Raw genomic sequence first — 13145 nt, 5'->3', positions numbered from 1 at the left:
AAATTGGCTGGATGTGATGACGGGCTCCTGTAATCCCAGCTACTTGGGAGGTTGAGGCAGGAGAATCGCTTGAACCTGGGAGGCGGAGGTTGCAGTGAGCCGAGATTGTGCCATTGCACTTCAGCCTGGCGACACAGTGAGACGCCATCTCAAAAAAAAAAAAAAAAAGAAAAGAAACCAGAGCTATAGCCGTGACCTCTGATGTCTGCTTCCACTCTGGGGACCACAGGTGGCATCAATCTCTGGAACCAAAGGCTTTAGGGCATTGTCTTTATATTTAAAGAAGACAGGGAGCCTGCTTTCTCCAATGCCAGTGAAACCTGCACATGTTCCCAGGTCTCAGCCAGTCCAAAGCTTTGAGGGAAGAACGTCTGGCAGAGCTGAATCTTCCTCAGCAGCAGTGGGTGCAGCTGGTCCCAGGGGTAATGGGAAGGACCCTCACCCTAAACACCCCACAGTGGCCAGGACAGCAGCAGCAAGTCCTCACCCTTCACAAGGCTCTTCTTTTTTCTTTAACTGCTTTATTGAGGTGTGATTGATGTACAAAAAGCTGCAGATATTTAATGTGTACAACTTGATGTGTTTGGGAATATACCCATCCCCCAAACCATCAAACCATCATCACTATCAATGCCACGCGCACAGCCAGCATGGCCAGAAGTTTCTTCTGCGCTCTGCTCCTGCCTTGTTTTCCTTTTGTAGTGAGAGCACTTAAACGGGAGGTGCTGGTCTCAAGACACGAAGTTTCAGTTACACAAAGCCAAAGAGGATTTGGAGAGCCCCTGTAACAACACAGGACCCGTGATTAACAGCACTGTGGTTGTGCTGTGTGCTTCAGCCTTTGCTCAGAGGGGAGGTCTTCTGGGAAGTGCCCTAACCACACAAGGTTCTTTTAGAGCCACTACATCATTTGCCTCACAACATCCTGCTGGTGTTAAGCAGTCCAGCACTGACCTTCGCATTTTATAACCCAGGAAAAGCAAGAGGGTGAAGCCCAGGGCTGGGCATAGTGGCCTATCTCCTCCCTACTCAAAATGTGGTCCATAGTCCAGTAGCCACAGCATCGCCTGGGGACTTGTGAGAAATGCAGAGTCTTGGGCCTTGCCCTGGGACTACTGAGTCAGAATCTGCATTTTTAACAAGATGAGGGGTGGGGAATGGGACAGGATCCACTCACATGCAAGTTAAAGTTTGAGACGCACCAGCCTAAGATCTGGCGAGTTAGCAGGCCTGGATTCGGCCCTAGGATCCAGGCATTCTGACTCCCTAGATGGCCCTGGGGGACAGATATATATTTGGAAAAAGCCATATTCCATAATGACAGGGCTTAATACATGATCTAAAAAGACAAATGTTCAAAATGCTTTTCTGGTGGTTAAGTTTCAGGAAAAATGCCACCGATTCCATTTCTGGGCACCATTTCTTGCACAAAAAGCAATCTCCCTGTCTTGGAAAAGCAGTACTAGTGCCCGTTTTAGATGAACAATATTAAAAGAACAAGCCTCCCATTTCCCTCCCTTCCCATGTGCACCTTTGCTTTGAGAAAATCTGGCCGTGGGTTTTGATGTAGTGATTTTTTTTTCAAAAAAGCACACACGATTCAGAGACTTTTCTCGTGGGACTAATTGACTAGGCATTTGTGCTATTGCTCCTGGTGTAAATCATTAAAATGGTGATAATGAAAAATAAAAAAGATACTGGAAATGACAGTTGGCAACACAATATCAGCGTAAACTGAGGGAAGAAGGGAGGCGTGTATAAATTAGGAACTTGTAAACATCAGGATCGATGAGGGAGCTGTGGTGGCTACCATTTGATTACGTAGAGGAGCATCAACCAGAGTTGTCATTACGAATAACCAATGTGGCTCCTTCTAACTGCTTGTTCTCGTGGCTCCACAAGGACGCAAACACTGAAAACTCCAGCCCCGTTTCCCTGTAGTCCTGCAAACACACGATCCCAGTCTTTTGAGATGGATTTTGCTGTAACTTTCCTTCTCCAAGCAGGCTTACCCCCTCCCAGGGCCGCCTCTCAGGCATGCCTGATTATTCTAGATCTTGCAGAATTGACTAATTCAACAAGCTCCCTCTTCACAGGAAATGGTGTTCATCAGTGGCCCAAGCTGATGAATGAATCCTACTCGGTGCCTGGAGCCAGACCCAGTGGCAAGAGTTGCAAAGAAGAAAGACTGATGCCTTCTCTCTATTTGGCTGCCAAAAATGCTCTTGCAATTTGCTTTCTTCTAGACAAGAGTCTATTCAAAAGTCTATTTGGAAACATTAGGGAACGGCTGTCACATGGCCGGCAGATCATACTGCCTGTGACAGGATATTATCTTCCTCGGGAGAGACTCGACCACTCTTTTATTTCACCGAGTAACTAGCATCTGGGTTGACGGCTGCGGAATTGCTCCGAGGGCCGGGGACATTAACATCCCTGTCCGGAGTGAATGCAAAACCGACAGCCACTTCAGTGAGCAGGATTTGTGGAACGAACCTTTCACCAGCATTAAGCACCAGTGCCCACCTTTCTGGTCTCCATCTCTAGTGGGACCTGGGGGGCCTCCTGCTTGTCCAAATCCCTCCCCAGGAAACCATGACGTAGCCCACTTCCTGTTCTGGCGCTCCACTCCATGAGTCAGGCCTTCGTGCCCCCCTTTCCCTCTCAAGCAATTCCCCAGGCATGCCCTTGGGTTAATGCACGATCTGCCCTTTTCTCATCAAATCATGTCAAGTTCACTGCCCACCTCCTTCCCCATTATACCCGGCTCAGTGCAAGATACTGAGAGGAAATAAGAACAGGGCACAGCTCCTGCCTTCAGGGAGGGAGGGCTGTTCAGGAGGGCACAGCCATAAAACGGAAAAACACCCTGGGGGGCAGGGGAGGGACCACGCTGGGCTGGAGCAGGCAGGGTAGGCCAGGGTAGACCCAGAACCCCAGGGTGGCCCAGCTCCCTGGGGTTCCATTCATTTCCCATTCATCAGAAAGGAGACTGCGTCTTAGCTAGGACAGTGTCTAATTAAGATGGGTGGCGAAAGGCAGCACAGCCAAGGATGGCAGTCCCAGCTCTGCCCGCCATGCAAGCAGCCTGCTGGCTCACCCCCAGAGCCCCTGCTGGCTGGCCTATAGCCCATCTCTCCCCGACAGAGGGGATCTCCGGGGCCTTGACTTTGGCTTTGGGAACTAGAGGTTCACACTGCCCACTGGAGCTTCCTCCAGGATCAGCAGCGACCCCCAAGGAAGGGGCGTTTTTGGTCACTTGGGAGAGACTTTTGTCCTCTGTTCCTGGCCACTGAGCCCTGTTTTGCCCACTCCCCTGCTGACCTCAGTACCAGGCTGTCTCCAACCGCACAGCCTTCTTTGTTTTGAAGTTGGGAGCTGCTACCCTATCTTGATGTGTTTGCTTCAGATTTTCATCGTCTTTATTCTATGTCCGTGTTTTTAATTTAATTTAATTAAAAAAAAAAAAGAAGCCCAGACCAGAGGGCAGCCTGTTGCGAGGTTGTGTGTTTTATCACCACCCAAGCATGCAAACGAGGCAGCCTCTGTTGACAAGTTCACATCTCCAGTGCAGAGCTGGCTGTTTGAACAGCTTGTGTGCAGTAATTGAAACATAGATTTTGTTGCCTTTCTGTTTATTTTTAGATTAACCAAGCAGGGATACTTTGCTTCCAGGCTGCCACTTCCACCCCCGCTGGGCAGCCTGGGACTGCTGGCCCCTTGCATACTGGCAGCGAGGAGCACCACACCCCGCTGGGGTCCTCCCCTCCTGATGTGTCCTTTGCCTGACTCAGAGCAAGGGTGACCTTCCCTGTGACCTCCAGGGCCCAAGGCGGGGACGCTGATGAATGCAGTGCTCAGAGGCTGTTCCCTAACTCCCAGGTCTCTGAAGACATCCCCCTACCCACCTTGTTGGACTCTCTCCCAGCAGCTTGGGGAGGCAGGCGGGGAAGGGATCAGTGACCCCCTTCGACAATGGTGGTAACCGAGTCTCAGAGCCTTAGGACAGAGACGAATTAGAATCCAGATCTTCCACTCCCAGGGCAGGGGGGCTGTAACAGAGGAGGGCCCACATAGCCCCCGGAAGACTCAATCAGGGTCAGTTTTCTATTTTAGCCGCTTAAAAATAATGATGGTTGCATCAGCCTGGATAGGTAGGTGACGCTATGATGCTAAACAGTCCCCAAAACCTCAATGGCTTCGGCGAGGTACGCTTTTCACTCATGCCACGCACTCACTGCTTGCCACGCGCTCACTGCTGGTCGGCTGGGGGCCCTGTGCCAGGCCATCCACTCTCTAGGACCCCGGCTGTCAGACTGGCCACTGTGGCAAAAGGAGAGATGGGTTGGCGCATCGCACACTGGCTCTCAAGGTTTTCACTTGGAAAGCATGTGTCCTTTCTGCTCTGGTGTCATTGGCCAAAGCAAGCCATGTGGTCACGATCTAACTCTAAGTGGGTGGGGACATGCAACTCTATCATGTGCCCAGAAAGAGAAATGGTTTTGGGGAAAAGACAGTGAGGGAAGAGGGTGCGTGCATGTGTGTGTCTGTGTGTCTGTGTGTGCCTGTGTGTGTGCCTGTGTGCCTGTGTGTGTGTCTGTGTGCTTGTGTCTGTGTGTGTGTGTGCCTGTGTGTGTTTGTGTGTGTGCGCCTGTGTGTCTGGGTGCCTGTGTGTGTTCACAGGGTCCCCAAGCTGGGCTGCATTCTCCTCTGAGCCCTGCAGTACCCCTGAATTCATCTTAGCAAAATTCCTTTGGCATTCTATGATTTTTCTCTTTAACCCCATGAGGTTGGCAGCTCCTTGAAGCCACGGCCTGCCTGCTCCTTATCTCAGTGTCCCCAGGGCCCTGCCTCGGCTTGACATAGTCCGGGGGTTCCACTGATGTCTGCTGAGCTGAACTGTCCCAAGACAGGGTGTGTGAGTGAGAAGGATGTGGCCACGCACACAGGCCTCAGACCACTCTCTTTTCCCAGTGGCATAGCGCCACCTCTGTATTGCTGGTGGCCTTACTCTGTGCCTTCACCTCCTCCTGGAAGCCTTCCTGGACCACCTAGACTGCAGAGATTGCTGCTCCTGGCCTCATCCAGCACTGCTGTCTTCTCACTACAGAGCCTGTGAAATGATGGCCATGTAACTGGTTTCTGAGGCTGAACTCAGCAGGATGTAAGTAGCAAACAAGTATCTTTTCCTCCCGCTACTTCTTTTCACATGCACTCTGTTAGGCCCAAATAGCATTTGGGGTTTTTCTCGGGGGAGGCGGGAGGGGTGGTCACTTTTGGGCACGATGTCTATCGGTAGAAGTACTACTGCTGCTGTCACAACTATTGCTACTGCTACCACTTCTACTACGGAAAGCGAACACTTTCTGGGCACTTACTGTGTGCTGGCTACCGTACCAAGGGCTGTGCATGCACCAGCTCTTTTAATCCCCAGGTACTTTAATTGAACTGAGGCAGGGAGGGGTTTAATTAACGTAAAGGTTTAAGTGACCTGTGGGGCCACAAAGCTAGTAAATGGCTAGGTCAATCCTAAACATGATCACATTCTTGGTCTCTCCAAAGCCCAGTCCAATCTTTCATCAGAACTCTTATCATATCTGGTCCACAGCCTCTCCCCTCTGCCCCAGCTCTGGCCGGACCCAGGCTCGGAATCGGGTAATGAGAATGGCAGCATCGCCCTTCTCTGGTTTTGCCTCCTTCTCACTAACTGCTGCTTCAGCCTCCCCAGAGTGGCCAGGGAGCGGGGCTGGGAGCACAAGGGCAAGGTGTGAGCAGAGTGATGTAAACGGGCAGAGACAGCCTCCGTGTGCAGAGACCCGGTGCCGGCCCTCCTTCCGCTGTGGCACTGTGGTGGGTTCTCTGCGGGAGCTCCACGAGGGTGTGTGCTCTGCTGGAAATGCTCCCTCAGGCGGCTCTGATGGTTCACACCCTGGCAGGCTGTCCTCCTGGGCAGGGTCTTCCCAGATGGCTCAAGTCTGTCTCCCTGTGCAGTGTCCACTCTGGACTCACAACCATAACTCTCCCTTGATGACCAACTCTGGTCCTACTGCCACCAGCACAACCCTCGCTCTCCACTGCATGTTCCAGATATCCCCGGGAGCCTTTTGCATCTGGACACTTCCTGGTAAGATTCAGGCACAGCCTTGGTGTCCCCCAAATTCCAAGGAACACAGGTCACATCCTTCTAAGTGCTTGGGGTACCCCAGTCTTGGGGTAGCAGCAGCTCCCACAGAGTACTGGTTGAGGGGCTGGTAGAGTGGGGAGCTCCTCCCCGGGAGAGGGGGAGAAGCCTCAGTTTCCCTCCTAGGCCAGCTCTCTTCTAGGATCGCTGCTCCCTATAGTCAGCCCAAAGCTTTTCTCATGGGAGTAGAGACGGGCCCTGGGGCTGTCTAGCTCCTCTTTCTAATGTGGGGGTGCCGGATACCTTTCATGCACAGCCTGGGGCCTCACCTGAGGCCCCAAAACAACAGGAATAGCTTTATTTCACATCTTGATATAAATGATTCACTCCTCCTCCAGCTCAGCTCTTGCCTCCTCCATGAAGTCTTCCTGATGATTCCAGGTCACTCTGCTGCCTCATCCCTTGGCCCCAATCTTTTCTAGCCCTCATTCTGCAGGGTCCCCTGTATCTGATGACATACTAAGCTCTGAAAACACACTGCATTGGCCACCCCTGCCAGTTGCCTGGGTGGAAGCCCTACTCACACCCATCAGTCACATTCCCTGCCCACAGTCACATGTGTGGCTGCACAGAGCCCAGCCTCAGGCAAGGGAGTGGGCACCCTAAGGACAATGGGGATGATGGGGTCAGGGCCCCTGAGAGGGTCTGGAGAGCTGTCTGCAGGCCAGATCTCAGCTGCAGCAGGCCCTGGGAGAGGGAGGGAGACACCATCTGCTCTTGGCTCAGCCCAACCCGGTCTGTAGGCACAGGCAGTCCATTTACAGAGGGCTGGCCCTGCAGCGGCACACAGAGCAGGGCTGACACCCACTGTCTGGGGCTCAACAAAGGGGTCTGCAGAGGACTGGCCTTGGATGAGGCGGGAGGAAGGGAGTCCAGAGAAAGCTGTGTTCCCCACCTGAGGCTGGGGGGACTCTGGTGTCAGATGCCAACCTGGCACCATCAGGATGGCCTTCAGGGGCTAGAATAAAAGGAACTCAGTATTTTTCACGCCCGAGAAGAGGACTGGGCTGGCACCCACTCCCTGGCTACAAAGGAAATGACTCGTCCCCAGGAGCAGTGTAGCCGGGGCCTAATCACCCCATACTCCAGGGCCTCCTGCCTAGAGGAAGTGCCTGGCAAATTTCACTATGAAATCAGAGATGGAGATGCCAGCACCCCCTTTCGCTTACCACGAGGTGGTGCCTGCATCTCTCTCCACACCCCTGAGCTCTGCGGGTGTCAGCCTCCTGGCCTGGGGACACCCCACCCCGAGGACGCCAAGCCTTCCTTACCCAGCTGCAAACAGGCAGCAGAAAGGGGAAGCAGGGAGCATTTACGGAGCACCGACAGCATGCCTGCTACTCTGCAAGTCACTTAAACTGCGTGTGTCATAGCACTGCCTCCACTTTATAGAAGGGGAAACTGAGGCTCAGTGATGCGGTGGCTTGCTCAAGGCCACTTGGGGGAAGTGGTGGTGCTTGGAAGGAGGCTCTTGTGCCCGACTCTGAAGCCAGTGCTCTTCTTTCTCTATCTTTTCCTGGACTCATGACCAGCCCTGGCCTGCAGACCTTTCGTCTCTCACTCACAAATGCTTCTTATACATTCAGCCTCCTCGGCTGGCAGCTGTGTTTCCTCCTAACACCAACCACTTCTTCCCACGTCCACCCTGGCCTGGGCCTCTGTCATCTCTCAGCTGGATTTCTGCCACAGCCTCCTAAACACGTCTCCTTCCTTCCTTCCTCACCCTCATTCAGAGTATTCTCCACCCAGCAGCCAGAGTGATCCTGTTAAAACACAAGCCAGATCATCTCTCCCAAGTCCCTGCAATGGCTCCCATCCTACCCTAAGAAAAAGCCAAAGGCCTTCTTCTTAAGACCCATGAGGCCCTGGTGCTCACTCCCCTCTCTTGTTTGGTCTCCCCCTGCCCCTCTGTTCCAACATGCTGGCCTCCTTGCAGCGGCTCCATCACTTTAGGCCCCATTCTACCTCAGGACCTTTGCACACACTGCTCCCTGTGCCGGGCCCATCCTCCCCACTATCCACACGGCCAGCGTTCTTATTGCCTTCCAGCCTCTTCTCAAATGTTGCCTTCTCAGTGAGGCCTTCTCTGCCCATCCTATTGTAAAATGGCAACTTCTTTCTCTGCTTTCTTTCCCGCTCACTCTCATTGCCTTCTCTTGGCCTATATAGTTTACTTACTTAGATTTCTGTGTGTCCCCTCTCTGGAGTGTGAGTTCCCTAAGGGCAGTGCTTCTAAACACAGACTCATTTAATCTACATAACAATTCTGTGAGGCAGCTGTTCCGATGGCTATCTCCATCTTCCAGATTAGGAAACTGAGGCACAGAAAGCTCAAGCAATTGGCCCAAAGTCTCCCAGCTAGAAAGTGGCAGAGGAGGATTCACGCCCAGGCAGCGCAGCCCCGGAGACCTGCTCTCAGGCACCACAGTCTCCACCTGCCAGCTCGGTTCAATGCTGTATCTTGGCCCAGGCAATACCCGGCCTCTGGTAGGGCTCCGTAAATAACGAGTGAATGAAGCACGCTGCAATCCCACATCACCGTGGTTCTCGTGCCCGTCTTCTCTCCCCACAGACGGGCAAGATCCTGGACTCAGGCCTGTTCTTCCCTCCTTCCCTGCCCCACCCACCAGACTGCCCCTATCTGATGGGGGCAGCATCAGTCAGGTTATGTCAAAGAAATGAATTATTCCCCTGGGTCTTAAAGCGGTTGCTTTTGCCAGCGGCCATGGGGAAGGGGCAGTTCAGGCCAGTTGCACAAATGTCTCCTACTCTCCCTGTCCAGCAAGCCCCGACCCAGAGCCCTGGAGAGTCCACCTGGTGGACCTGGGAGATGACATCACCAGCCCGGGGTGGGCAGGCTTGCCAGTTCCCCCAGCCCCAAGCATCCTATTCATAATGCACCAGCATCTGGAGTGGTGGAGGGAGCAGCCAGCTCTCCCCCAGGAGCGTACACATCCACGACGCAATTCCTCCGAGGAAAATTACTCAGGCAGCCATTTATTAAAACACAACTGCTCCCGAGGAGGCCTTTCGGCAGTGGAAATACCAAATAGCTTTGAAGCTCCAGCCGTCCCAGAAACCGATGGAGCAGGCTCCTAGGCACTATCTGACTTCTAATCTGCTTGTTCTTTCCCCCATCTGGAAGGTCTAATGAAACGTTACACTGCAAGGAAACACGGAAATCAGTAACTTCAGAGGGCAGGGACATAGATTTCATTTCTTGCCTTGGTCTGCTATTTGCATAAACCTCAAGGGAATATCCGGGAGAAGAAACAAGAAAAATAACAATATCCCCCTACCTACTGGGGGTCAGGCACTGTGCTTGAAGAATGATGACATTTTACATTTAACCCTCCCGCACATCCCGGGGAGGGACTTTTCATCACCATCTCTGTGGCAGAGGTCGCCGGCGCTGCCCATGTCTGTGCCCTCCTCTTTCTTGGGGACCACAGCTGGACAACACTCTCCAGCTCCCCTTTGATTCTAGCTGGAGCCGTGTAATGAGTTCTTGCCGACATGTGCAGAATGTGTGTGCGAGTGACTCGGGTCCCTCTAGACCATGTGGTTAGAGCAGAGATGTCTTCTTCATCTCTCTTTCCCTGTCCACTGCAGAGGAGGATGAGGCGCAGACGGCAGGGACACACTGCACAAGGAGGCTTGGTTCTTCTCGGGCTCCTGGAGCAGAGCTGCTTCTCACTGACCCATCCCACACCGTGACTTGAGAAGGAAGCTACATGATTAAGCCACTACAGTTTGGGGTGGTTTGTTCCAATAGTTAGCCTGCCCCGACTAATGCAATCTTAATTTCCCAGGGGAGGAAGCAGAAGCTCAGACAGTTGGGAGTGACTTGCCCAAGGTCACAAAGAGCCTGGATCCAATGCAGCAGGAGCTGCCTGAGTGGTAACTAGACCTGGTTCCTTCCCCAGGTGTCCCTGGTGAAAGGCCCAGGTGGCTGCTATGAGATCATCTTCCAGGTTCAACTCCCCGGGGCTGAGCAACTTGTAGTTGGTCCAGGTGAGGCTCTCTGAGGGTTCAGGCAGAAGCCTGCCCCTCCTCTGCAAGAACGATCTCTCTCTGGCCTCCACCCTGGGGAGAGAATGCAGGAAGGACAGTGGCTGGATGCTGGCTCCCTGGAGACTGTCCCCTTCCAAATGCCTGACAAGCCCCGAGGATGGCATGTGCTTTGCAGAAAAGGTCAACTCCAGAAAGTAGGAGACTCAGCAATTCCCCAAATAGCCAAACCCTGAACGCGGGCTGTCCCCATCAGAGCACACATGCCCCATGGAAACAGAACAAGAGATAGAGGGAGAGAACCAGAGACACCAAGGTGGGAGAGCTTCCCCAGCAGACCTGGTTATAGCCAACTGGTGAACCCCTGTGCAGATGGAGCCCTCTCATCTGCACAAGCCTCCCTAGGCATCCAATTTTCCAGGCAGGTGGGTCTACTGGGACTAAAGTAAGTCCTCTAAATGCCTAACTCATTTTTGTTCCTTAACAAATACATGTACCGAAAAAGATGCAATTGAAGAGAGGAAGGGAACAGTATTAACCAGGGAAGAAATATAATTGCTAAATTCTGAGAGGCTATTTTAGACAAGAGATCAAAGGGTTGGAAATTAAAAGAAAACAAAACACTGCCACCACCCTGGTTGCCTGACTCAGCCCTTTAGACTTCTTAATGCCATTTCCCAAGGCCATCAGTATGACGACAATGACTTAACAACAGGCAGCACACAGCCCAACCCCTCCCAGGAGAGCTAATTACTTCCCAGGATTAATTCTTCAGTTTTCTAGACAGTTTGAGCAGCTGCACCACTACGGCCATTGCCAGAAACAAGAGCTTCTGGATGGAAGACACACCTACTGTTTCCCAGGATCTGGACTTGGGGCCTCAATCCACAAATCATCTCACACAAGAAGGCACCAGCCCTGCTGCTGTCCACTGGGAGCACCAGTTTTATGGTTTTTTTTTTTTTGTTTTTTGGGTTGGGCTTTTTTAAAAGCTCTTTAAAAAATCCTGTTTTCGATTGCGAGGGACTTGAGAAAGAACGGTGAATGCACTGTGTCCGAGACCAGCAATCTGGGAAGGGTTGCTGCCTCTGACACCCAGATGAGATCACCCTGCATTGCTGGTTAGCTCCTGTCTTACCTTCCAGCTACAACAAAGAGATGCACAGAGCTGCCGCTCACTTTCAGCCCACCAGCCAGCCCTGGCCAGGCACTCAGCACTGTGCTGGGGCTGTGAGTGCTGGCAGAGATGGATTTGGCTGAGGACTGCCCTCAAGGAGCCCATGGTCTGGCAGGGCTGAACCAATCCTCAAGAAGATCTGAGACCATAAGACAGGCAGAGGCTTCTGATGAGCATGGAAGGAAGCCCCTTGAGTTCTGGAGCCCGGTTCTCTCCTCTGGCCTTCTCCATAGCTAGGCATATAACTGCCCATCTTCTGTCCATCTACTTATCCATCCATCCATCCATCTACCCGTGCATCCACCCATGCATCCATCCATTCACGTCTCCCTCCGTTAACACACCAAATATTTGTTGAACATCTGTTCAGATACTTTGTCAGGCATCCAGATTCCTGTCAAGCGAAGAAAGTGAGAAAGGTTCCCAACAGAATTCAGTTGTGAAATCTGCATTTTGTCTGATCCATTCCCTCCTTTATCTGATAGTAGGATCTTTCTTTCCCACAGGGAGCCCATTAGCTATGGCTGGGTGTTGTGCCCCACCCCTGGGGTAAGCACGTGACCAGGCCAGGCAAATCAGGGTGTTCTATCCCCCTGGCCATAAGGATTGAATCAGGGTCCATGACCCAAACAGACCCAAATCCCATAGATACGATATATGAACTCCAAAAACAAAGGTCTCTCTTCCTTCAGGATCATGCCCAGAAAAGATGTAAGCAGGGCCTACTCCTGGCCGTCCTCTCTGGTCATGGGGAGGGGACGGTCTGTAGGACAGAGCATGAAGCTGGCCACAGAGGGCAGTGGAGGAGGGATGGACGAGGTCCAACAGTACATGAGTGACTGAATCTGGCTGTGCTGAAGCCTGAGTTGTGCCTCTCCATTACAAGAGTTAACACATTTTCTTTTGTGCTTCAGTTAGTTTGAGTTGGGTTCCCATCTACTGCAACCAAAAGAGTTCTATGTTCCAGTGTACCCTCAGAGAAGTGCCAAGTTCTGCGCTACTGAAGATGAGGTTTGGGATGTAAGGATGTGTCTATGTGACTCTTTGGGAAAGAGGGAGGATTTGGAGAGAAGGAGAGGAAAGAAAGATGCTCAAGAGGAAAGGACAATGTGGACCAGCACTAGCCAGTACGATTTTCTGCAATGGTGGAAACGCTTCTATGATCTGTGTTGTCCAATATGGAAGCTAGAAGCCCCCTGGGGCTGTTGGCACTTGACAATTGGCCAGCATGATCGAGGAACTGAAGTTTACATTTTATTTAATTGTAATTGATACAAATACTGGCTAGTGGCTACTGTATTGGACAGTGCAGGTGTGGACCACGGCCCCGGCAGAGGAAGTGTGAGGGAAAGTGACCACTTCTGGGGGGCTGGGCAGGTACCAGGGGGCGGGATTGCAGGACGGGAGCCTGGACACAGAAGATCCTGGGGGACATGAAGGCAAATGGCCCAGGCAAGGACTGAGGAGGGTCTAACATGGGGCAGGGGAAACAACTAGGAGCCAGAAACGAGGAAGTTCCAAAGTGGGAGGATGCCAGAGTCAACTCACAGGGCTGGTGGGCGGCACACCTGTTCCCTGAAATGAGGATTACAGAGGAGGATGGAGGTCTGAGGTGGAACGATGGGACGAAGGTTGCTTAACAGAAGTTGGAGCCTAGAGAAACAAGCTTTTGGAGTCACTGGAGTTTAGGGGATAATCGCTCAGACTGTGGAAAGAGAAAAGTATACCTAAGCTAAACTATGGAGACTGCCAAGAAGTGGCTGGAAAAAGAGAATG

The 13145-nt window shown here is 52.3% G+C and overlaps 1 protein-coding gene across 2 annotated transcripts in view, besides 1 other annotated feature; it reads right to left on the bottom strand.

The window, feature by feature from the left end:
* The window catches only part of KLHL29 (kelch like family member 29), a 323428-nt gene that overhangs the window by 155677 nt on the left and 154606 nt on the right, over positions 1 to 13145 (bottom strand). The window lies entirely within an intron of this gene.
* Positions 7164 to 7665: an enhancer, noted in NCBI's record as "H3K4me1 hESC enhancer chr2:23768135-23768636 (GRCh37/hg19 assembly coordinates)". NCBI's record gives its function as "activates a minimal SCP1, AML or CMV promoter by ChIP-STARR-seq in primed H9 embryonic stem cells {active_cell/tissue: H9 hESC(primed)}" and the evidence as "EXISTENCE:reporter gene assay evidence [ECO:0000049][PMID:30033119]".

Source organism: Homo sapiens, chromosome 2, assembly GCF_000001405.40.
Source record: "Homo sapiens chromosome 2, GRCh38.p14 Primary Assembly".
Lineage (NCBI taxonomy): Eukaryota > Metazoa > Chordata > Mammalia > Primates > Hominidae > Homo > Homo sapiens.
The sequence above is the reverse complement of the archived record's forward strand: the minus strand, read 5'-3'. Positions and strand labels throughout refer to the sequence as shown.